Genomic DNA, 27,300 nt, shown 5'->3' with positions numbered 1-27,300 from the left:
TACGTGAAGAATGCAGAAGCCTCAGGAGCCAATGCAATCAAATGGAAGAAAGGGTATCAGTGATGGAAGATGAAATGAATGAAATGAAGCGAGAAGGGAAGTTTAGAGAAAAAAGAATAAAAAGAAACGAATAAAGCCTCCAAGAAATATGGGACTATGTGAAAAGACCAAATCTACGTCTGATTGGTGTACCTGAAAGTGACGGGGAGAATGGAACCAAGTTGGAAAACACTCTGCAGGATATTATCCAGGAGAACTTCCCCAATCTAGCAAGGCAGGCCAACATTCAGATTCAAGAAATACAGAGACCACCACAAAGATACTCCTCAAGAAGAGCAACTCCAAGACACATAATTGTCAGATTCACCAAGGTTGAAATGAAGGAAAAAATGTTAAGGGCAGCCAGAGAGAAAGGTCGGGTTACCCTCAAAGGGAAGCCCATCAGACTAACAGCAGATCTCTCAGCAGAAACTCTACAAGCCAGAAGAGAGTGGGGGCCAATATTCAACATACTTAAAGAAAAGAATTTTCAATCCAGAATTTCATATCCAGCCAAACTAAGCTTCACAAGTGAAGGAGAAATAAAATACTTTACAGACAAGCAAATGCTGAGAGATTTTGTCACCACCAGGCCTGCCCTAAAAGAGCTCCTGAAGGAAGCACTAAACATGGAAAAGAACAACCGGTACCAGCCACTGCAAAATCATGCCAAAATGTAAAGACCATCGAGGCTAGGAAGAAACTGCATCAACTAACGAGCAAAATAACCAGCTAACATCATAATGACAGGTTCAAATTCACACATAACAATATTAACTTTAAATGTAAATGGACTAAATGCTCCAATTAAAAGACACAGACTGGCAAATTGGATAGAGTCAAGACCCATCAGCATGCTGTATTCAGGAAACCCATCTCACGTGCAGAGACACACATAGGCTCAAAATAAAAGGATGGAGGAAGATCTACCAAGCAAATGGAAAACAAAAAAAGGCAGGGGTTGCAGTCCTAGTCTCTGATAAAACAGATTTTAAACCAACAAAGATCAAAAGAGACAAAGAAGGCCATTACATAATGGTAAAGGGATCAATTCAACAAGAAGAGCTATCTATCGTAAACATATATGCACCCAATACAGGAGCACCCAGATTCATAAAGCAAGTCCTGAATGACCTACAAAGAGACTTAGACTCCCACACAATAATAATGGGAGACTTTAACACCCCACTGTCAACATTAGACAGATCAACGAGACAGAAAGTTAACAAGGATACCCAGGAATTGAACTCAGCTCTGCACCAAGTGGACCTAATAGACATCTACAGAACTCTCCACCCCAAATCAACAGAATATACATTTTTTTCAGCACCACACCACACCTATTCCAAAATTGAACACATAGTTGGAAGTAAAGCTCTCCTCACCAAATGTAAAAGAACAGAAATTATAACAAACTGTCACTCAGGCCACGGTGCAATCAAACTAGAACTCAGGATTAAGAAACTCACTCAAAACTGCTCAACTACATGGAAACTGAACAACCTGCTCCTGAATGACTACTGGGTACATAACAAAATGAAGGCAGAAATAAAGATGTTCTTTGAAACCAACGAGAACAAAGACACAACATATCAGAATCTCTGGGACACATTCAAAGCAGTGTGTAGAGGGAAATTTATAGCACTAAATGCCCACAAGAGAAAGCAGGAAAGATCCAAAATTGACACCCTAACATCACAATTAAAAGAACTAGAAAAGCAAGAGCAAACACATTCAAAAGCTAGCAGAAGGCAAGAAATAACTAAAATCAGAGCAGAACTGAAGGAAATAGAGACTCAAAAAACCCTTTAAAAAATTAATGAATCCAGGAGCTGGTTTTTTGAAAGGATCAACAAAATTGACAGACCGCTAGCAAGACTAATAAAGAAAAAAAGAAGAATCAAATAGACGCAATAAAAAATGATAAAGGGGATATCACCATTGATCCCACAGAAATACAAACTACCATCAGAGAATACTACAAACACCTCTACGCAAATAAACTAGAAAATCTAGAAGAAATGGATAAATTCCTTGACACATACACCCTCCCACGACTAAACCAGGAAGAAGTTGAATCTCTGAATAGACCAACAACAGGCTCTGAAATTGAGGCAATAATCAATAGCTTACCAACCAAAAAGAGTCCAGGACCAGATGGATTCACAGCCAAATTCTACCAGAGGTACAAGGAGGAACTGGTACCATTCCTTCTGAAACTATTCCAATCAATAGAAAAAGAGGGAATCCTCACTAACTCATTTTATGAGGCCAGCATCATCCTGATACCAAAGCCGGGCAGAGACACAACCAAAAAAGAGAATTTTAGACCAATATCCTTGATGAACATTGATGCAAAAATCCTCAATAAAATACTGGCAAACCAAATCCAGCAGCACATCAAAAAGCTTACCCACCATGATCAAGTGGGCTTCATCCCTGGGATGCAAGGCTGGTTCAATATACGCAAATCAATAAATGTAATCCAGCATATAAACAGAATCAAAGACAAAAACCACATGATTATCTCAATAGATGCAGAAAAGGCCTTTGACAAAATTCAACAATGCTTCATGCTAAAAACTCTCAATAAACTAGGTATTGATGGGACATATCTCAAAATAATAAGAGCTATCTATGACAAACCCACAGCCAATATCATACTGAATGGGCAAAAACTGGAAGCATTCCCTTTGAAAACTGGCACAAGACAAGGATGCCCTCTCTCACCACTCCTATTCAACATAGTGTTGGAAGTTCTGACCAGGGCAATTAGGCAGGAGAAGCAAATAAAGGGTATTCAATGAGGAAAAGAGGAAGTCAAATTGTCCCTGTTTGCAGATGACATGATTGTATATCTAGAAAACCCCACTGTCTCAGCCCAAAATCTCCTTAAGCTGATAAGCAACTTCAGCAAAGTCTCAGGATACAAAATCAATGTGCAAAAATCACAAGCATTCTTATACACCAATAACAGACAAACAGAGAGCCAAATCATGAGTGAACTCCCATTCACAATTGTTTCAAAGAGAATAAAATACCTAGGAATCCAACTTACAAGGGACGTGAAAGACCTCTTCAAGGAGAACTACAAACCACTGCTCAATGAAATAAGAGAGGATACAAACAAATGGAAGAACATTCCATGCTCATGGGTAGGAAGAATCAATATCGTGAAAATGGCCATACTGCCCAAGGTAATTTATAGATTCAATGCCATCCACATAAAGCTACCAATGACTTTCTTCACAGAATTGGAAAAAACTACTTTAAAGTTCATATGGAACCAAAAAAGAGCCCACATCGCCAAGCCAATCCTAAGCCAAAAGAACAAAGCTGGAGGCATCATGCTACCTGACTTCAAACTATACTACAAGGCTACAGTAACCAAAACAGCATGGTACTGGTACCAAAACAGAGAGATAGATCAATGGAACAGAACAGTGGCCTCAGAAATAACACCACACAACTACAACCATGTGATCTTTGACAAACCTGACAAAAACAAGAAATGGGGAAACGATTCCCTATTTAATAAATGGTGCTGGGAAAACTGGCTAGCCATATATAGAAAGCTGAAACTGGATCCCTTCCTTACACCTTATACAAAAATTAATTTAAGATGGATTAAAGACTTAAACATTAGACCTAAAACCATAAAAACCCTAGAAGAAAACCTAGGCATTACCATTCAGGACATAGGCATGGGCAAGGACTTCATGTCTAAAACACCAAAAGCAATGGCAACAAAAGCCAAAATTGACTAATGGGATCTCATTAAACTCAAGAGCTTCTGCACAGCAAAACAAACTACCATCAGAGTGAACAGGCAACCTACAAAATGGGAGAAAATTTTCGCAACCTACTCATCTGACAAAGGGCTAATATCCAGAATCTACAATGAACTCAAACAAATTTGCAAGAAAAAAACAAACAACCCCATCAAAAAGTGGGCAAAGGACATGAACAGACACTTCTCAAAAGAAGACATTTATGCAGCCAAAAAACACATGAAAAAATGCTCACCATCACTGGCCATCAGAGAAATGCAAATCAAAACCACAATGAGATACCATCTCACACCAGTTAGAATGGCGATCATTAAAAAGTCAGGAAACAACAGGTGCTGTAAAGGATGTAGAGAAATAGGAACACTTTTACACTGTTGGTGGGACTGTAAACTAGTTCAACCATTGTGGAAGTCAGTGTGGCGATTCCTCAGGGATCTAGAACTAGAAATACCATTTGACCCAGCCATCTCATTACTGGGTATATACCCAAAGGACTATAAATCATGCTGCTATAAAGACACATGCACACGTATGTTTATTGCAGCACTATTCACAATAGCAAAGACTTGGAACCAACCCAAATGTCCAACAATGATAGACTGGATTAAGAAAATGTGGCACATATACACCATGGAATACTATGCAGCCATAAAAAATGATGAGTTCATGTCCTTTGTAGGGACATGGATGAAATTGGAAATCATCATTCTCAGTAAACTATCGCAAGGATAAAAAACCAAACACCACATGTTCTCACTCATAGGTGGAAATTGAACAATGAGAACACATGGACACAGGAAGGGGAACATCACACTCTGGGGACTGTTGTGGGGTGGGGGGAGTGGGGAGGGATAGCATTAGGAGATATACCTAATGCTAAATGACGAGTTAATGGGTGCAGCACACCAGCACGGCACATGTATACATATGTAACTAACCTGCACATTGTGCACATGTACCCTAAAACTTAAAGTATAATAATAAAAAAACAAAAAAATAAAAATACAAAATAAAGTCATACTCCATCTCATTTCAAAAAGATATAAGACAGAAGTCACATGACTGATAATGACTGAATCAATGACTGAATGTAGACCCTTATATAGGATTCAAGTCAAGTAAACACTGAAGAATAATTTTATGTTATCCAGTGCAAATTTTTATTGAAACACATACAGTTTTGCTCTCCTGGCAAAGTGCTTGGAAATAGCATTCTTCTCCCACTATGCCAGCACCCTCTTGGCCACACTTAACCCCCAAACTGCCTTAGTTAGACTAATTTTCAGGGAGGTACTTCTAAAAGTTTTTTAGCAGAGATCAGGCAAATCAGGCAAGGAAGACAAGGACCAAAAAAAAAAAAAAAAAAATCATACCACTGACAATCACCTAATTTACTTTTTTTTCTAAGTTGTATACATTTCCCAATCCTTTCTCTGGAGGAGGGTAAGGGGGCATGAGTGTTGTTTGTCCGATGAAGCAGTGCAGTGCATACCCTTTCCCTCATCAGAGAACTACGAAACATTTCGCTGGCTACATCCTCTATGCCAAGGGGTGTCTTGGAAGATTTAGACACAACTTAGTAAAGTCACTCATGCCAGGCCTCCTTCATATCAGTCTGAAAGGACACATCAAAACACCTTGGTCCTTGAAACCTCTTGAGGACGCAGATGGAAGACAGTGGGACTTAACAGATCGACATACAGCTGTATACATTATCTAGCTTTAAAAGAAGAGGAAAAGAGCTTAGCGAAAACAGAGGCACTTGCTTAAAGGGTGGACAAATCGCAGCTGGGCAAAGCAGGAGAAAAGACATGTAGGCATCTGGCCACTCGCCTCAATCCCAGCTCTAGCTGATTCTCAATATTGAAGGAGAGCCAGTTGTGGCTCTCACTGAAAACTATGTAGAGTTGGACCAGGGCCAGGAGACCTGGACAAACCAGAAGCCATGCCTCACATCTGCACTAAGAAAGTCATTTCCCTTTATCTTGCCCATAGTATCAATGTTGCAGGGCTAGAACATGGGTTTTCATAGCCAGGCTGCCTCCCAAAATCCCAAAGCAGTTACACAGCCATTTTAACCTCCCTGAAAAGTAAAAAGTCAGGCTTTATTGGTCTCATTTCAGTGGGTGTTTAGTCCATTAATATTTAGTGTAATTATTGATACAGTTCTGAGTCAAGTCTACCATTTTACTTTTTTTTTTTTTTAATTGAGACAGAGTCTCGCTCTGTCTCCCAGGTTGGAGTGCAGTGGCATGATCTCAGCTCACTGCAACCTCTGCCTCCCCAGTTCAAGCAATTCTCCTGCCTCAGCCTCCCAAGTAAATGGGATTACAGACACCCGCCACCACACCCAGCTAATTTTTGTATTTTTAATAGAGACAGGGTTTCGCCATGTTGTCCAGGCTGGTCTCGAACTCCTGACCTCAGGTGATCAGTTCACCTCAGCTTCCCAAAGTGCTGGGATTACAGGTGTGAGCCACCATGCCTGGCCCCATTTTACTTTTGTTTTCTGTTTGTTTCTAATCAGTTTTATTCCTTTCTTCCTAGTTTCTGGCCTTCTTTTGAAGTTTTTTTTTAGAATTTTAGTTTAGAATTTTGAAGTATTTTTTAGAATTTTAGAATTTTAATTTATCTATAGGCTTTTGAGTAATACCTCTTGCACTGCCTTCTAGGAACTATTCTAGTATTACGATATACATTATTAATTTGTTGCAATCTGCCTAAAGCTAACACTGCACCACTTCACATAAAATGACAAAAAAAAAAAAAACAATCATGCAACCACATGGGTCTGTTACCCCACCCCTTATGCTTCAGGTGTCATATATACTATACATGCATACACTGTAAACTCCAAAATACAATGTCAGAGTTCAGGGGCTAAATAGCCATGTAGATTTTTTAAAAATCAAAGGGAAAGAATAGTCTTTTTGTTGTTGTTTACTCACATACTAGTCACAGCTGATGCTGTTTGCTTGCTGAGGATAAGTGTCCATTCTTCAACTGGAAGAACCTCCTTTACCTGTTCCTGGCACGCAGATGTGACGATTAATCATCTTAGTTTTCTTCTACATGAAAATGTCTTTATTTCACCTTTATGCTTGAAGGATACTTCTGGATAGAGAATTCTAGATTCACAGAGTTTTCTGGTTTTTCCTATCTGTATGCCCTTGAAAGATGTCCCACTGTCTTTGCTATTTCTGATGAGACATTAAGGTAATTCAAGTTGTTGTTTCCCTGGATGCAATGTGCAACTTTTTCTCTAGTTGTTTTCAATCTTGATTTTTTTTTCTTTTTGGAAGTTTAACCAAGATGCGCCTGGGTGTGGTTTTCATTAAATTAATCCTGCTTAATGATTGAGCTTCTTGACTCTACATTTATATCATTCATCAAATTTGGGATATTTTCAGCCATTATTTTTTCATTCACCCCCACCCCATCCTATGACAACATGTATTAGAGCTTCTGATATTGTCCCACTGATCCCTGCATCCCTGTTCACAATTTTTTCAAGACTGAATAATGTCTATTGATCTTTCATTAATCTGACTCTTGCGCTGTCATCTCCATTCTACCATTAAGCTCATCCAGTGAATTTTTTTGTTTGATATTATAATTTTCAGTCCTAGAATGTTCACTATTTCTCTGCTGGGATTTCCAATCTTTCCCTATATGATGAGCAAATGTATTTCCCTTTATGTCCTTGGGCACACTTATAACAGCTACTTTCATCAAATCATTGCTTGCTATTCCATCATCCAGGTATTCCTGCAGTTGATCTCTGTTGATTGTGTTTCGTCATGCAGTAAGTAATTTTAGGTTGCATCCTGGATCTCTTGAATGATATGTTGTAGAAACTACAGCTTCTCCTAATTTTCTTTGAAGTCACTTTTTTAAAGCACACAGTTAACTTCACTGAAATCAAACTGCAAAACACTGTCTCCCCTAAGGTAGGCAGCAGTTCATATTTCAGTTCAATTGTTTCAGCCTTATCTAGCCAGTGTGGAATCTGCACCACACATGAAGTTCAAAGTCCAGCTTAGATTTAGGTAGATTTTATACATGGAATTTGGGGCTCCACTCTGTGGCTCACTCCTTTCAGAGACCCCACTCCTTCCAGCAGCTAAGGTTGTCCTGAACTCTAGTCTCTGGTTATCCAAGCCAACCAAGATACATATTTTCTATCAAGTTATCTATCTTCCCACATGGCACAGACTGAAGGCTGTACTCAAGAGAAAAGCTGTAGAAAATGAGAAATTCACCCTAAGCCTTTCCCTTCTTCCAAGAGTCAGCTCCCCTTCCGGTAGCTGCCTGCATCTTCTCCCTTAGTAATCATGTAAGAAAAGTGTGGTTGCTCCATAGTTTTCTCTAGAACTCTCTCATAGGGCCATGGAGAGCAGACAGCCCAGGGCCCACCAAACTCCTCCCCATCAGAATCAGAGACTGTCCCTTCTCATCAGATACCCATGGATGCTTAAATCCCAGCCCCTCAGGACTAACTGAAAAGGACCAGTAGATCATCCTGTCCCATCTCCTATGGAGGAGAACAAGAATCCACTCCACCCTGGCTGATATTCTGCTTAAATCTCTCTACTGACAAGAGTATACAACTTTAAGGAAATATAAAAAGAAAAGTAAATGACTTGGACACATTACATACTTCATTTCTTTGCATCTACTCAATCATCCTTTAACGAAAGTATTATCATCCTCATTTTACAGATGAGGAAACTAGGCCTCAAAGAAAGATGTTAACTTGCCTATGTTCTCTCTTCTAGAAAATAGTACAGCCAGGTTTTGAATTTTGGTCACTACAACTCTAAAAGCTCACATCCGTTCCACATTGTCTATCCCACTTTCAACGTCTTTAAACATTGGCAAGTTCTTTCTTAGATTAAACTGAAGTCTGCCACCTTATAATTACCATCATTAGCTGTAATTCATAATTCTAGATTGGGAGCTCCTAAGAGTAGTGATAGGAACTCATTTGTCTTTGCATTCCTAGTACCTAGCACAGAGGAGGGGCTAAATAACTGATCGGTTAATTGATTAATGCCATTAGAAATGTCAGGTAAAAGTCTACACCTACCTCATCACATCAATCTCACAGCTATGTACAGTGACTATCATACACCATGTTCCTCTCTCCAACATCATTTCTCTTCTGCAGTATAAATGTTCCTTGTTTGTTTCATTGCTTCCCATTTGGAAGGATTTCTAGAATCCTCCTGATCACCCTGGACACACTGCAACTGACCAGTGTCACTTAAAATATCATCTAGGAATTCCATTACTTCTCAGGATGCAGAAAACTACAAATAAGCATCACTCCCATACTAAAAGGAAAAAGCCAGATAATCTACAAAATCATAACTTTTCTCCAACCCATCAGAGAGCTGAGGTTGCAAGGCAAATGGTGAACTTAATTTCAAAGTGTGACTAGTCCCTCCAAGAACAGATAGAACACACAAAGCATTTCTTCTTTAGCAGAGGACAGATTGAAAAGGTAGCCATCAAAAAAGTAAATAAAAAGAAAACAGCTAACATTTTAACAAATTTTTTAATGTTGGATATGGGCTAACAAGAAAGTTTAGAATTCCCAAGAGCCCCAGCCACAAGGAGAGTCTGCACTCACTCCTCATTTTTTTCCCCATGGTGCTCACAAGAGAGATTAAGACCAAACAACAGATAAAAGAGAGCCCCCTACACTGTGCACAGGCATGAAATCTTGCCTACTTCCCAGGCCCTTCTCTCATAAAAAAGAGAAGTCATAAGCCACTAAGGAGGAAGCCACTTCCTCCTTAAAAGGTGCGCTTTAACTAAAGGAGAGATAGAAGCAAAATATGTCTGCCTCTGGGTGAAGGGGTAGAAAACCTTTTCAGTTACAGAATCTTGCATAGATATAGAGGCCTGCTGCCCTGGAGGAGGGACAGAAAATGCTCTCCTACCCAAGAGTCCCAACAAATATGAGACAGAAAAAGTCTCATACCTGGGACCCAGATACACAGGGCCTACCTAAGACTGAGATCCTCCACCACACCACAAGCTTCACACTGAGTAATAAGCAACAGCAGTCTAGCCCTCAAAGAGGGGCAACAGCATTGAGAGAGACCCATTCTCTAGAGTAAGCATATGGGACCAGCTGAAAGCTGAGGATGAAATGGAAACTTGAGGAAAACCCTTCATCTCTCCAGGCTCACCACTAAGCAAAGGTAGCAGCAAGCCACCACTGGAAGAATTTGAAGCTGTCATAGAACAAAACTCAGATCTAGCTCAATTACTGACTGCATTGACTCAACTACCCACACTAACATCCCAACAGAAGAGTCTCCATTTCCAAGCATAAATACTATTTGCCTCAGTCTCTACTGTTCTTTTATATGCATTATCTGGCATTGAATCAAAAATTATCAGACAAAAAGCAAGAAAAAAAATGAAGACTCTTGGTCAAAAGATAAAGTAGTCAACATTACCAGAAACAGATGTGATGCAGATGTTAAAATTATCAGATAGGGACTTAAAATAACTATAATTAAGTTTTTAATCTAGAGAAAAAGGTAGACAACATGAATGAATAAATAATTGTAAAAGAGAAATGGAAACTTTTTCTTTAAAATGAGTCAAATGGAAAGGCTAGAAATCAAAAGGATAACAAAAAGGAAGAATTTCATCATAAGGTTTATCAACAAACTGAACACAGCAGAGAAAATGATTTACAAACTTGAAGATAGGTGAGTAGAAATGATCCAAAATAATAACAAGGAAAAAAAAAAGCATATGAGAGCTATAGGATAATAGTAAACAGTATAACATATATTTTGAATCCCAAAAGTAGGAGAGAGAGAAAAGGAAGCAGAAAAAAAAAGTTTGAAGAGATAATAGCTACGAATTTTCCAAAATTAATTAAAAAGAGCAAACCACAGTTCAAAGAACCTCAGAAAATCCCAAGTAGGGGATGAGGGGTAGAAGTGGTCAGGCACTTGTATCTTTGATTTTCAGTAGTTTACTATGATGGGGTGGATGGCACACCTCATCATAGTAAAACTACTAAAAACCAAGGATACAGTGAAAATTCTGAAAGCAGCCAGAGGGGGGGGAAAAAAAAAAAACACAGAACAAAGCTAAGAATGACAGCGCACTGCTCAACAGAAAGAATGCAATGCAAAAGAAAATGGAGTGACACCATTAAAGCACTGACAGAAAAAACTGTCCACATGGAATTCTATACAAGTGAAAGTATCTGCTAAAAAATGAAGGTAAGATAAAGAATTTTTCAGACACACAGAAACTGAAAAAATTCATTGCCAACATACCATACTATGATGATGTTAAATAAAGACCTCAGGCAGGAGTCTGGTACTAGAAGGAAATTCAGATCTACAGAAAGAAAGAGCTCTAGAAATGATTAAAATGTGGATAATAAAAGACAGATTGTTTTTATTTCTTTTATTTTTTAGAGACACGGTCTAACTCTGTTGCCTAGGCAGTGTCTAACTCTGTTGCCCAGGCTGGAGTGCAGTGGTGCAATCACAGCTCACTGAATCCTTGACCTCCTGGGCTCAGGCAATCCTCCTATCTCAGTCTACCAAGAGGCTGGAACTACAGGTTTGAGCCACCACACCCAGCTAATATTTTTTTTAATGTTTTGTAGAGAATGGGTCTCACTATGTTGCCCAGGCTGGTCTCAAACTCCTGGCCTCAAGCGATCCTCTCACCTAAGCCTCCCAAAGTGCTGGGATTACAGGCATAAGCCACAGTGCCCAGCAAATTTTTTCTTAATTTTAGCCTCTCAAAAAAAATAGCTGACTCAATGTGGCACGTATACACCATGGAATACTATGCAGCCATAAAAACGGATGAGTTCATGTCCTTTGCAGGGACATGCATGACGCTGGAAACCATCATTCTCAGCAAAGTAACACAAGAACAGAAAACCAAACACCACATGTTCTCATTCATAAGTGGGAGCTGAACAATTAGAACACATGGACACAGGGAGGGGAACATCACACACTGGGGCCTGTTGGGGGATGGGGGCTAGGGGAGGGGTAGCATTAGAAGACATACATAATGTAGATGATGGGTTAATGAGTGCAGCAAACCACCATGGCACGTGTATACCTATGTAACAAACCCGTATGTTCTGCACATGTACCCCAGAACTTAAAGTATTATAAAAAATAAATAAATAAATATCAAGTAAGCCAGGCCCTCCATGGTCTTACTTTTTAGTGCTTCTACACCTACATATCTCCTGGTAAGGTTGAACCACACTTTCTTTTGTTGCTCTACTTGTGTTCATACTGTTCTATTTCTGTGGAACATCCTTCCTCAAATCCTAGGTTAAAAAAAAAAAAAAAGATAGCTGACTGCAAAATATATTTAGTTTGCAAATAGATTAAACTAGAAAATATTTAAACAGAATATTTTCATTTTCCTATTAATCAAGTAAAAAAAACATTTTCCCAGGTTAAAAAAAAAAGATAATTGCTGTCTAAAGAAAAGATAGTACCAATGATCAGTAGAGTTTATAACATATGTAAAAGTAAAATGTAGACAATAGAACAAAGGATGGAAAGAAGAAAATGGAAGAGTACCATTGTAAGATTCTTAAACTATAAATAAAGCAATGTATTATCTGAAGGTAAACTGTGTTAAATATATATACTGTACACCCTAAAGCAATCACTAGAACATTTTTAAAAGGAGTAAACTTATAAGCCAGTGGTGGAGATGAAATGAAATCATAAATATATACAAATAATTCAAAAGAAGGCAGGAAAAGAAGGAAATAGAGAACATATAAGACACATAGAAAACAATTTGCAAAATGGTAGACTCAAAACCAACTATACCAATAGTTACATTAAGGATAAATGGCCTAAACATTCCAAATTAAAAAGCAGATATAATCAGACTCGTTATGAAAGCAAGACCTGACTATATGCTCTCTAAAAGAAATTCATTATAAATATAAACACAGAGACATATATTAACAGTGAAAAAATAGATACAACACAAACATTACACAAAAACTCCAGTCTGTATAATAACATAATACAAAGTAGGTTTCAGAACAAGGAATATGTTTAGGAACAAAGACTCAGTTCATCAAGAAGATATAACTAATGTATATGTATGCATCTAACAACAGAGTTCCAAAATACATAAAGAAAAATCTGATCAAACTGAAAGAAGTAGACAAAAACCAGGAAGAATAGGAGACTTGAATACTCCTCTCTTAGTAATTTATATAAAAAGTAGATCAAAAATAAGTAAAGATATAGAAGCCTGAACAACACTATCAACCAAATTGAATTAACTGACATCTATAGACGATTCCAACCAACAATAGCAGAATCCACATTCTTTTGAAGGGCCCATGGAACATTCACTAAGACAGACTAGTTTCTGAGCAAATGTTTATAGCTGCTTATTCAAAATAGCTAAAACTTTAAACAGTCCAAACAGCCATCAAATGGTGAATGTGTCAAGAATTGTGGTACATTCACACAATAGAATACTACTCAACAATAAAAAGAAACAAACTAGTGATACATGCAACTACATGGATGAATCTCAAAAGCATTATGCTAAGTGAAAGAAACTAGGCACACAAAAGGGTGAATACTGTATGATTCCATTTTTATGACATTCTGGGGATAGGCAAAGCCACTGAGACAATAATTACATCAGTGCATGCCATGAGCCAAGGAAGGAGAAAGGAGATTGAAAAGTGGGCACAAGGAAACTTTTTATGGCGATAAAAATGTTACGTCTTGATTATGATGATGGTGGTTACATGACTGTATGCATTTGTCAAAAATCATCTGTGCACTTAGAAAGGGAATTAATTGTGCATAAATTATATCTCACTAAATCTGACTTCAAAAATAAAAAATAACCTGAAGCAGTGGCATGTACCTGTAGTCTCAACTACTCAGGAGGCTGAGGCAGGAGGATCACTTTAGCCCAGGAGTCTGAGGTTGTAGTATGCTGTGACTGTGCCTGTGAATAACCTAGACAATGTAACAATACCTTGTCTCTAAAAATATATACAAATAAATAAAATTAAAAACAAATTTAAATACAGTGGTCTGTTGGTATGGGAGATTGGTTCCAGGACACCCCACAAATACCAAAATCTAAGCATGCTCAAGTCCTTTACAGGCAGCCCTTCATATGTGCAGGATCTGCATTCCAGATCAAACATCCCAATATTCAATTGATTGAATATTCTGAGCAAATATTTATTGCTGCTTATTCAAAATAGCTAAAACTTTAAACAATCCAAACAGCCATCAAATGGTGAACGTGTCAAGAATTCTGATACATTCACACAATAGAATACTACTCAACAATAAAAAGAAACAAGCTAGTAATACATGCAACCACATGGATGAATCTCAAAAGCATTATGCTTTTGAGTGAAAGAAACTAGGCACACAAAAGGGTGAATACTGTATGATTCCATTTCAGATTGAATATTCAATTTGTAGTTGGTTGAATTGGTGGATGCAGAAACAGTGGATATACAGGGCCAACTGTACCATTATCCAAGATAGGAAATTGTAGTAATAAACTAATAACAGTAATAATAAATAACTCTTAACATGGTCAGATCAGCATAGGTCTTGACTAACCTTCCTGGAAAAGACTTTTTGAGGAGTTACCTCCTTCTGTTGCCTCAAATGGAACTTCACTGAGCTCCTGGCTCCATTACAGATAGGTCTATACAACCCGAGTATGTATATTTCCGACAGATACTTAGATCTTTTTTATAGGCCAGAGATCAAAGAGATAAGAAATATTACATATTTCAATAACATGAAGGAATATGAAAATTCATTTTCATGTTTGTAATGAGCCACCCAGCATCTGGTTCTGAGTTGTTTTGCTTAAGAATGCAGAGAGTTCAAAAAGGAGTTCTGAGAAGCAGAAGACCATCTGGGGCTCCTGTGCTGAAAATAGGAACTACCCCTCATTGTTTAAGATACTGTGGGATGTCCAGGTCAGAAGGAACCTAATTAGCGAGGAAGGAGGCCTAGGCTGGGTCCTACACTCCCAGAGTATTAAAATTAGAGTTCCTCACTGTTGCATGGGAAAGGAACTCCCAAAACTCTCCCTTGGGCAAATTCAGGACACAGAGTGGCCTTCTAGCATAGAAAGATGTTAGCTAATGCTACCAGTACCTTGCTTGCTTGTTTCTTCCAAGGGAAGTCAATACTGGACACTATTTTCATTGCTAAAGGTTAATCTGCAAAAATATTAAATGCCATCTTGCTCTAAAGAAGATTCTTTGGAAAAGTTCACAACATTGCTACCAAACCCAAAATAACTTCCTTAATCATCCGTTAAGGGCTCCCAATAGGCCACCTCTAGAGAAACATTTGTCCCTGGAGTGTTGTGTTTTTTTTTTTTTCTTTTAAATGCTGTCCTTCACCACTATGTTTATACTTTCCACAAAGATACAGAATGATTAATGCTGAAAAATAAATATGAAAAGCCTTACAATCAAATTAGGAGAGCGCTTGATAAAATAAGCCCTCTTCTTGTGAGTAATTTGAAAGAATAACTGTTTTTCATTACAATCTCAGCTCCCAGCAGGTCCTACATAAACCAAGCCAGCTGCGGTTCAAGAAAAGGTCCAAAGGAGGACCCACTCGAGGTGAGGATAAATCACAATTGTGATCACAGACCAGGTTTCTATCTTTTTTATTCCCTTTAATAAATTGGGCTTGACCTGAAACTCCAAGAAAGTTAATTTATAACAGCCAAAATAATTTTTTTTACGTAACAGCCCACCTTTCTTTTTCTTTTAAACTTAAACCATTATGACAAATGGAGATTTATTACATACCATAAACACATGTGGCTTGAGCACTGGTATTTAGTCTGGAAACTCAGATGGGGCAGTAAGCTGCTGCTGCAATCAGGAAATGCCATGTGACATTCTTGATAAAGACGAAACACACACACATTCCACAGCACTTATTGTGGCCACAGTGGTTTTGGCCATTGTGTGGGCACCACAGCCCCAGTGCAGGGCTGTGAAGTGAAAGATGATTCAGCAGACGAAGGAAAGATACTCCTGTCAGAGCCACAGTCACTTGAGTCAGAAAGGTCTTCACAAGGGCCACCAGAGTCTTTAATTAGAGATGAGCAAAGAAAACCAGCTTCCCAAGACATTTCTCCCACATAGGCCTGGTCTTCTCCTCCTTATCCATGCCTAAAATAACCCTACAAGTGGTTCGCATGTTTTGGTCCAGAGATACTCAGTAATGCTATACAGAACCATCCTGAAACATGAAGTTGGGTGCACTGATGAATAAATAGAATCTTGGGTGCACTGATGAATAAATAGAATCTTGGGTGATCCTTCTTCTCCCTTCCCTTGGCCAGGCTGAAATGATCTATTTCTTCTCAACTGATCATTCTTGTAGTCCTCACTGGCAACAAGCACTTGGTGATTTATCAGCTAAGCAGGGTTCTCTGGAAGGTCATATTAACTGGTGGTTAAAGACATGAACTTTGGAGCCAATCCTAGCTCCACCACTTTCCCAAACCATCTAAACCTAAGTTTTTCCATCTGTAAAATGGGAATATTGAAGTACCCTATGTGTCTGTGGGGAGGATTCAGTGAAATAATACATGTATATCACATAGATTTACATAGATTTAACATTATTAAAAATGTAGAGATTCACTATCATAATCTGAATAGCCACTTAATGGTACAATTAATAGCTATCAGTAATGATTATTATTAATAAACTTTCCATATGTGTAGGTCTTCTCTCCGGACTACAGTAAAAGTCCCTTGGGGGCAGAAACTCCATTATTACACTTCTTTTGCCTTGCTTATAATTCCAATGCATAAGCAACTTATTAATGAATACTCAATCACATCACTTCTACCATTAAAAAGATTTTATTATAATTTTGTAAAACAGAAACTAGCAGAAAAAAATACAGATAAAAAGGAAAAACTGCAATCATCCTTGATCCCAACACTAGAAATAACCAGTTGATATTCTGATGTATAGTCTTCTCTTCTTTTTTTCTATGCATACATATGTTTATTTCAAAATACAATTGGGATCAATAGTGTACACAGTGTTTCATAACCTGTGTACACATATTTTTAAGCTTATGAATAGTTCATAGATATTTTCCTCTACCATTAAACATTCTTCAAAAACATGATCTTTGAAGGCAGCAAGGTCTGCTGTTCTATGGTTACATCCCCCACTGTCCTCACCCACCATCTTGCAAATGGAGAATGCTTGAAACACTAGAGCTCAGTAAGATCACTGAAACCAGAAAATGTGTGTGGAATCAGTTGGCACCATGCCCAACACTGGTCAACACTCAGTAAATGTTCTCTCATTCCTCCTCTGGGTGTCTATTGTCTTTAAAGAAACTTCATGAAAGATTCCAACTTACACCATAAAATAAGGCTTCCCAGCACCAAAAGAGCAGAAGCCCAAGACCTTCTGGATAAAGCTTCTGCTCTTTCCATTTGGTTCCCGGCTCAAGATTTTGGATAACCATCATAACAGAGTTCCTGTGAGTTTCATGGTCGTTATAAACTATAATCCTACTTAACTCTTCCTAAGACCTTCCAGAATCCAGAGCTCTCACATTGGAATTTTTGTCACTAAATATTTCTCTAATTATTTCAGACATGTTGGACTCTCCTTCCCAACCAGATTTAAGTTCTAGACCATGAAGCTTAATACTGTAAGCTGAAACAAGCTTAATACTGCAGAGAATACAGGACTTAGGGTCAGGAGACCTGGGTTCTAGTCCCAACTTTGACTCTTACCAGCTATCATCATTTTGGGTAATCTCCCCTCTCTGGGGCTCAGTTTTCTCATTGGCAAAATGTTAGTAAGATGATCTCCAAGATTCATGTCACCACCTTTAGGACGGCAACCAATTTCTACATAGTTGTCATATATTAACTAAGGTCTAGTGTAAGCCAGACACCTATTATGTCCACAGTGTCCTATGATATCAGTACTGTCACTTGTCACATGTAGCAGAGAAAGAAACTGAGGCTTAGAAAGGTTAAGCAACAAGCCCAAAGTCTGCAGTATAACCATCATCTTGATCCAAGTGTGTGTCTAAAGCCTATGGTAACAACCAGGAAGCTGCACAATTCTCAAATTTTTTTCTTTCTGCCCAACCCCCCAGACCAGCTCCAAACTCTCCGTAACACTTGATTAACAGATTGTAGTTTCTGACTTAATTGATGGACTTTTACCAAGATCTCATTTCTATATGTCATAGTGCTAAACAAAAAAGACATTTCAGACGTGATAATTATTTGTTGTGGGAGCTGTCCTGTGCATTGTTGGATGTTAAGCACATTCCTGGCTTCCCCGGACTACATACCAGCAGCAACCACCCCACCCCAAGTTATGACAAATCAAATGTCTCCAAAGAGTGGGGGAGAATGCCTCCCCACACTGAGAACCGCTTCTCTGAAACAAAACATACTGAAAACACAGGAAAAATAATAAAGACAAAAGAATAAAAGCATTGGGCTAATACCTACACAAATAGTAAAAACAGAAATGTAATCAAATAATTAAATGAGATTCTAACAGCACATCCCTACTTTAAAACATCTGACTTAGTGGTGAGCTTGCACTAAATGAGAATAACACTACGATCAAAAGGACAAGTTGTATACCTTAAATGTATACCATTTTTATTCGTCAATTATACCTCAATAAAGCTCAAAAATGAAAACATTTCGATTGTTTCTCCTTAAAATGAAACATTGCTTATTATAGAGATTTCAAATCATGCAGAAAAAAAAAACAAGAAAGTTTTTTAAACACACACAAAAAAAGAATAACATTACAGCAATGCAGCAGGAAGTGTTTATACTCTTGCCCCAGTGCTTAAGGTCAGGGGAGGGCCAACTCTTTGACAGCTGGGATCATGCAAGAGGCAGTACCTTCCTCTCTAAGTCATAGCAGTGAATAGGAAGACAAGAAAAACTGTCTTTCGAGCACCCTATATCCAAGTCAGAATTCTGAAGGTTTTTTCCAGTAGATCCAATGCTATAATGGTTAGGTTCCCAGGCTAGCCTAAAAAATTCCACTTACCCAAAATAATCCTTTTCATTTTGCAGAAATAAATTTTGTGAGATAGTTTAGAAACCTACCATCATTTAGTCCTTCATTTTTTAAGAATAATTCTAAATATGTACTACCAATTAACAATAAATGTAGGGAGTTAGGGACTAAATGTAAGGTAAATAAACACAGCCAAATCTTTTCTCTACCTATTCTCCCAGAAGCTCCATTAATACTAATCTGTATCTTTTCTCGTAGGTTCACCATCAAAACTTATCAAATGAGTGTGAAGACACACACATGGACACAAACACACACACAAACGCATGTGCACGAAGCTTCATTTCTGAAGTGAATCTGTAGTTGAGTTTTTAAGGATGTCCCTGGCACTCCTTTGAAGTTGGTTCTTGGTGTGAAACGATGGACACAGGTGGGGTGAGGGACCCCAACTTTAAACATGCCAGAAAGCACAAGCCACAGCAAGGAAGCACATTCAGCGACACTTGTATCAGAATTAGTAAGTTTCTGTCACTGAAAGGAGTGAAAATCCAGAGGAGTGAAAATCATCAGGGACATTTCAGCTTACTGTCATGTTTCATAGACAAAATTACATTCCAGGAAGAAAGGAGTAAGGGGAGAAGGGAGAGGAGGTGTAGGGAGGGAGGAAAAGCTGCACAAAAGTTCTGAAATATATCAATGTCCAGAAATGGGAAAGGAAAAAAATAAAAATAAATCTTTGGAGAATTTAAAAAACATGAAATAAAATATCTATCTTATTTCAGAATCCTGGAGTAAATAATATTTCTGATGTTCCCATAGAGAGTCAAATCCGGCCAGCAAAACAAACACAAATACAAATAAATACTGGGCTGGTGAATTAGGGAAGGTACACAGAGGAATTTAAAAATAGGACGAGGGTTTTGTTCAGAAATGGGATCCTTCCTCTCTCCTCCTCCCCACTTCCATTTTTTTTTCTTGAAGTAAAATCCATTATTTTGAAAACACCATTAGAAATCCTAAAGAAATAGCAAAACACAGTATTGTGGTATTCCAAAGTAATATCTCTTGTTTATAACCATATAAATTTAGCCCCTGGCACTACAGGGCTTATATAATAGAATAGAGTTATTTTAACAGCGCCCTGTTAAAGAAGAAGCAAAATGTTCAGCTCATTTTCTCCAGTGGGAGGGACCCATGGCCTCATGCGAGAGAGGGAACATGCCTAAGTCATTACTGCGGGAAAGCAATCCGTCAAAGCTGGGTTGCTCTGGCATGGCCAGCACCACTGGTGAGATCAGAGAGGCAGCCTCTGCTTGCAATTACCAGGGAAGGACCTTGGCTCTAGGCAGCCTGCTATCAATTACTACCCTGGCCTCGCGCTTGGACTTGTCAATTTCCCAGTGTCTTCTGTTTTGTAACAGTAAGAAAAAGGGCTCCTCCTGACTGATTCTTGGAAGTTTCTCATGTGTTGTGTCACTCCTCGGTGTCATTAACAATTCAATTAAAATTTCACAGCACACAGGCAGGCTGCGCCGGACAGTGGCAGGAAGGGGCCTGGTAGAGGAGATTTCCGAAGGGCCTGCAATGGGGCCACGTTGGATCAAGCGAAACCAATCTTGAAATTTCTTTGATTTCTCAAGTCAGGCCTGCATGTGTCTCCCATATGACATGACGCTGGCTGTCATCTTGACAGGACGACATGTTTGATATTCTCACCCCATTGGGGGTGTAGTGATGGAAAGGAATTTTAGGCTGGCTAGAAACAAAAATCTTGTACTATTTCACTAAATGTTTTGGCTCCACAATAGATAATTATAAATATTCGCAATCAGCTCTCTTAATCTGCAGTGAGTTCTAGAAACTTCTTTTTCTCTATTTGTTTTTTTATTGGGTCCCTCTATTTTCTTGCTTTTCAGAGTGGGGTTGTCTAGAAGAAATGAGAGACAGAGCATCAATCACAATTAAATTCTTCAGGAAGGTAAGATGACTAGGAATGCTAAACAGGATGGCTGGAAACTAGAAAGACTTGCTACTGTCATTATTAACTCTGTGAAAGTGCAAACACTCCTTTGTCTTGCTGAATGATGGAGCTACACATGCTCACGTGCTTTTAAGCGTCCCAAGGGTTTAGGGAAAAACCAAAAAAAAAAAAGTTTCAGGCTTAAGACTTCTGAGGCAGCTTTCTCTCTAACCCCCTCAATGAGTTTAGTCATGCAAGGAAAGATTCTTTAAAGTTACCAAAGACTTTGTTTAATGCCCAAGAAAATGCAGACTGTCAGCACCCTTTGTCAGGTTTTGGTGGCTTAAGCCCATTCTCCAATACACTGGTGACCCTCCACCCTCATTCACTAGTTTCTTTTTGACATCAAGCGCTGGATAATTGTTTGATTTCCTTCTAGGTAAAAGGAGATTAAATGCCCAGCTGCAACAGCTGACATACAAAAGGGAAAATATAGTTTAACCACCATATTTATCAAGATAATTTTTCTTCCACACACTGATTAATAACATTAGCCAACATCCCCTTTGGCTTGGGGAGAGAGAGGTGGGGAGAGACATGTCCCCCTCAGAGTATCAGAAACAGGAGTTGACAGTTCAAGGCAAAAATGATTTGCATGTAAATTCTCATCAAAAGCAAGTCTGCACCCTGAAGTTGTCAAGTTTTGCTACCAATTTGACACTTAAATGGGCTATAGCAAAACTTGATTTAAACTGAAGAGGAAAAAAACATGGCAACTCAATTACCCCCTAGCAGATCGGATCTGGCAGCTGAGGTCAAACTTTTCACCCTGCCATTACATTTCTCAATACCTGATGCTTTAAACAAACACTATGTATTCCTCCTACAATCCTGGAGGAAAACGCATTTCTCAGGGCTCCCTACTGTGCCCCAGATTAAAAAATAAATTTCACTTGTGTGGGATCTGGGGCCATTTTCTCCATGTAAATTTCTGAATAAATCAGGACTTAAGAAATGGCCTTTTGCACTGGGAAAAATAGTCTCTGCTTAAAAAAAAAAAAAAAAAAAGTTTGTGGGGAAGATTTGTGGAGTATTAAAAGATGACTTAAAAACAAATATTCCCATAACATTAGAGGCAAAACGGTGACCTGTTTTTAGTTTGCTTTTAATATATTTCATATTTGAGCTTAGGCTGAACAGCACATTAATTCAGCAGGGAGAAAAACAGCTAGCTAGTTCCAAATCGGCTCCAAATTTATGGAGGACAAAGTATCTCATAAGGCCCTGGGACAAAGGCTCAAATCCAGGAAAGACCCAGTTGGCCTCTGGGAATTCCGTCCCACCAGGGTTTGAATGCTGCGGTTGCCTAGGCTATTCAATCCCTGCAAGAGTTCTCATTCCTGCAACAACTATTTAAACCAACAGTTGTTAAAACTCTTCTTATAAGTGCCCTAAAGCAGATCCAAAACTGTTTTTTTCCTTTTTAAAAAAAAAACAACAAAACTTGTTTCCCTAAGTTTGTTTTAAGCTCTTCCTGTAAAAGCAATGAGTTTATTGACTCTGCATTCACCATAATTTCTAGTTCTTATAACAGGTAGCCAGGTAACACATAGGGAATTATTTTACTTTTTTAGCCAATAAACACATTACATATTTACTGGATGCCAGGCACTCTTCTGAACACTAGGGGCCCAAACATGAGTAATAGCTGCTTACAGTTGGGAAGACAATCACATACACAACTAATTACAATAGTGTGGGATAAGCACTGCAAGAAAGTAATATTCAAAGTATATGAGAACACATTTAACTAAGGGATTCAGTCTGGGGGAGTGAAAGTTTCAAATTCCCCTGGTGACTGGGACTTTACCTATATTGGCATCCAGCAAATAGTGGAGCAGAGTGCTAGTGGGGAGGTAAGATCTTTCTACAGAAACCAGCCAAGTGGAAATAAGAAAAGCCTGTTTGGCCAGGTGCTAGATAGGGGAAGACAGTATGGTGATAAAACGAGAATCCTATGGCCACACACATGGGACAAATGTATGAAATCACATTCCTCTTGTGCCTGGTCTTCCTATAAGCCTATCATGCCAATCCCCAAACTTGGAGCATGCCCACCATTGGTGTTGTACTTGCTTTGCTGTTACTCAAACATGCCAAGCTTGTTCTGGCCCCAGGGCCTTTTCACTTGCTGTTCCCTCTGCCAGGTTCCCAAACCTTTGCACAAGCTATCTCACCTTCAGCTCTTTGCTTAAATGTCACTTCTCAGAGCAGCCCTCCCTGACATCTCTACCTAAAATACGCTCCCACACCCACTTCTGAGGCACCTAACCCTTTACTCCTGCTTTATTTTCAATATGGTATAATGTTGCTACCAGAAATTTTATTATCTGTTATTATTTCTGCTCCTCACTAGATTATAAGCAGCATGAGAATCAGGCCTATACCCCCAGATCCTAGAACAGATAGTAATAGGTGCTCAATAAACATATAGTGAATCTGTTAATAACCTTTAACCCCTGGGTGCTGATAAGCTAATATCTCTGAATTAATGCTATAAAGAAAATTAAAACCCAAAAGACTCTGACAGACTCTGACTTCTAAGCCCTTGCATCAAGAACAAATAATGCTATAGGGAGTGAATGCAAATGTAGCATTTTTGAAATCTAAATACAGCCAGAGGGAGAAAATCGCCAATACATCAACAATAACAAAAACAACAAAAAAACAGCCATTTATACTAAGCCAAATCTCTGAGATCTTTCTGAAAATATATATTTAACTCTAACCAGGTTCCCAGGCTTCCTACAAATCACCACCATGCAAGAGAAAACCATGTGAGAAGTTATGTTCTGCTTCTGAACATTTAAGCATTTTTATCAATATTATTTGCCAGTATAAACATTTCCCCCATAACTTAATATTTAAAATAAGAGTGCACCAAACCGAGGCTTATAATGTGCAAAGGAAAGAGTTCAGTCTAAGGTATTCATGACTTCAGTCATTCTCTCATAAAACAACAGATGAAATAAAATGTATGACATTCCCAAAGAGGGAGTTCCTCATGTAATTCATCTTAAAATGCAATGTTCTGTCATCTCAAGTAACACTTACTGAAAGCAACCATCAATACTTTTTGTCAAAAGCCCGTACTCTGTGTAAAATGTTCCATCAATCTCTATTTACATAAAACAAAAAACTTTCAGTGTGGTTCTAACACACAGCCATGGAGGGTCTCCATCTCCAGTTTTCATGCTCTGCTGAAAAATAATTTGACTGACACCAGAAAAATAAAGATGACCCTTAAAGGAAAGCTTTTAGGAAAGGGAAAGCTGCAAGGGAAAATGCCTTACATTGTTGGACACAAGTCCTATTGAAGAGAAGTTTTTTTGGTTTTAAACCATACGATATGTATTCTCTTAAAATAAAAAATTCCATTCTGCCAGGAAATCCTCTAAAAAGCTTTCACTCAATTGCATGCAAGCAACACTAATATAGGGATGGCACCCTGCTGATTCTAAACTTGAACATGCAACCTGTACCACTCTATTCCAAGACAGAAAATTTGGCATTCAGTACTGTAGAATGTGAATATCACATGAGGCTAGCAGAAGGTCATTGCCTGGGGATGTTTATAAAACACACAAATTAAGGTATTAGCCTTTCACCTTGGGGGTCTGAAGATCAAATCCCAGCTTAGGTAACATGCATAAAGTCTCTCTGCCAGCCTTTTCCTAATACTTGCTTGTTGAAATCACACAGACCCTTTCCTCTGACCCAAGTTAACAAAGGCATAGATGAGAAAGCTAAGAAATGACAGGTCAAAGCCAAAAACACAAAACAAACAAACAAACAAACAAACAAACAAACAAAACTACTCAATGCCCATCTGAGACATTTTCACTTCATGCTCAGTGAAGTGCCATTTTTTGCCATTTTTCACCCTTTCCCTATGATTTGAACAGTCTACGGGTGAAGATTACATAAGAGACAACACTGCCACTTACATCTTTTGAATCGCAAATAGAAGATGCATTAGGAAATCACTTAACCTTTCCTAATTATTCCTTACATTCACTCACTAGGCATGCTATGTGAAATGCGGTAGAGGATGCAGCAGGTGGCCAGATACAGTTTCAAGTACTGCTGCAGGGACTCGGCCAAATCGCTGCACCGCTTTCAGTCTCTGTGTTATGCAAAGCTCCCTGGGCAGCACAAAGCTTCTAGGGTCTTCTAGGAGGGGAAATGACAACATAGCAGATAGGGTCTTGGCTCCCCTTCGATGCAGCGGCCTCATCAGTATCTGCTTTATATCTGATGAGCTAACAAAGCTTCAGGTTTCATTTGCAACTGTGTCCTCAGACCTCAAAATTCTCTCCAGCTCTAATAGTCCCCAACCGTATACTGTGGTGGAGCAGGAACACATATACCCCAAACAGGTGTGATGAGCCCTCAACTTTGGGTTAAAGAGGACAGAGAGAAGAGCATACCTCAGTAGAGTCATGTGAGCTGTGTGTGACCCACCAGGGTATATACACGGTTAGGATTTTCAAGAGGTAGAGGCTGGGACTTGATGGAGGACAGAAAGAGCATCCTATAGAGGGGACACACAGGACAAGCACAAAGCCAGGCCAGGGGGCATGTTTGAGAAGTATGGAACATCTCTAGAAAGGAGGGGAAAAACAGATAGGAGTGATTAAATGCCTGCATGCCAGGCTGAGAATTCTAAACTCCCTGGACCCAAGAGGTACTCACTCCACCCAGTCATGAATGCAAATGCTCTCCCCGGCCCCCAAGCAACCCAAGCTCACTTCAATACTTTGATCACATCTGCAAATCCCTTACACATTTGTCCAGATCTGAACTTCCATCCTTACGGGCCTGGCTCAGGCCTCATACATTTGGTAGTCAATACAGGCTTTGATAGCAAGGATAACAAGGATAAATTATGCCAGGCACTGTGCTGAGAGCTGTACAGTCAGGGTCTCATTTAATCCTGACAGTCAGGGATGTAGGTACATCACAATGCTGTGGGAGAGAAAATCAAGGCTTAGAGAGACTTAACAACTTGCCTGATGTCACACAAAGCTAGGCAGAATCAGAGCAGAACTTAAACCCAGAAGTACCAAGCCTCTCAGCCACATGGCCTGCCTTAGGAGTATTCTCAGGGGCTGAGCCAGAAGTAGCCACAAGTGGAATGCCTCCAGGTGATGGAAAAGATGCTTCCATCAGCGGTTGCACGTTATAATAATGAGGCAATGACAAGGCTTTGAGCTAAGTGGAAAAATCCTTCCCCCAAAAATAATGAACACAAAGTAAAAAGAAAGCTCTTCAGCATATAGTGTGACAGAAGAAAATAGTCTCTTAGCTAGTTTGGGCATAAAAGTTCACTCTTGACCGGAACGTAAGGCAAGGGAGTAGCTGAAATACCAGAGCATCTGTGCTCCCTGGCAATTCTAGGTCTAATTACCAACCACCAGTAGGATACCTGTTATTTGTCCAGCATACGATGGGTGGTATGGGGGATACAATGAGGACACTGTTTTTGTCCTCAAAGTTCTCAGAGTTAAATGTCAAGCAAGCCTGATCCTAGATCAAAAATGCTTCAGTAGGCCAGGCACAGTGGCTCATGCCTGTAATCCCAACAATCTGGGAGGCTGAGACAAGAGGATCACTTGAGGCTAAGAGTTCAAGACCAGCCTGGTCAGCATAGCAAGACCCCCATCTCTACAAAAAAAATTTAAGAATTATCCCCAGCTACTACTAATTTAAGAATTATAGCCCCAGCTACTCGGGAGGCTGAGACAAGAACCCAGAAGTTCAAGTATACAGCGAGCTATGATCACACCACTGCACTCCAGCCTGGGCAGCAGAGTGAGGCTCCATCTCCTAAAAATGCTACAATAAAAGAATAGCAAGTGGGTGGAGCAGGAACACATATACCCCAAACAGGTGTGATGAGCCCTCAACTTTGGGTTAAAGAGGACAGAGAGAAGAGCATACCTCAGTAGAGTCATGTGAGCTGTGTATGAACCACCAGGGTATATACATAGTTAGGATTTTCAAGAGGTAGAGGCTGGGACTTGATGGAGGACAGAGAGAGCATCCTATAGAGGGGACACACAGGACAAGCACAGAGCCAGGCCAGGGGGCATGTTTGAGAATATATACAATATACAGTTGTGTAGAGCAGTATGGAATGGACCCCGAGTACAATAGCTGTTCTGAGAAGAACCTGAGCAGCTAGGAAAGGCCTGGAGTCATGTGAACCCGCCCTGCAAGGATGGTTAAGATCTGGGTAGACAAAAAGAAGGCAATACAGAGCAAGCAGAACAGCAGCTCAGGGGCCAATGTGAGCAAAGCCTGGGTGGGAGAGGAACAGAGCGACGGCGGCATGGCTGAGGCAGAATGACAAGCA

At 39.3% G+C, this 27,300-nt stretch overlaps 1 protein-coding gene and 1 non-coding gene across 2 annotated transcripts in view, besides 1 other annotated feature; both read right to left on the bottom strand.

The window, feature by feature from the left end:
• LRMDA (leucine rich melanocyte differentiation associated) overlaps positions 1-27,300 on the bottom strand; it is a 1,128,545-nt gene that overhangs the window by 996,816 nt on the left and 104,429 nt on the right. The gene's annotated exons all lie outside the window — the stretch shown is intronic.
• On the bottom strand, positions 10,800-10,895 carry MIR606 (microRNA 606). Its single transcript, NR_030337.1, has one exon. It is a non-coding gene; the product is annotated as a microRNA 606 (primary transcript).
• Positions 24,686-25,300: an enhancer, noted in NCBI's record as "OCT4-NANOG hESC enhancer chr10:77297811-77298425 (GRCh37/hg19 assembly coordinates)". NCBI's record gives its function as "activates a minimal SCP1, AML or CMV promoter by ChIP-STARR-seq in primed H9 embryonic stem cells {active_cell/tissue: H9 hESC(primed)}" and the evidence as "EXISTENCE:reporter gene assay evidence [ECO:0000049][PMID:30033119]".

This window comes from Homo sapiens, chromosome 10, assembly GCF_000001405.40.
Source record: "Homo sapiens chromosome 10, GRCh38.p14 Primary Assembly".
NCBI lineage: Eukaryota > Metazoa > Chordata > Mammalia > Primates > Hominidae > Homo > Homo sapiens.
Note: the sequence above shows the minus strand (reverse complement) of the source record. Positions and strands in the feature narration are given on the sequence as shown.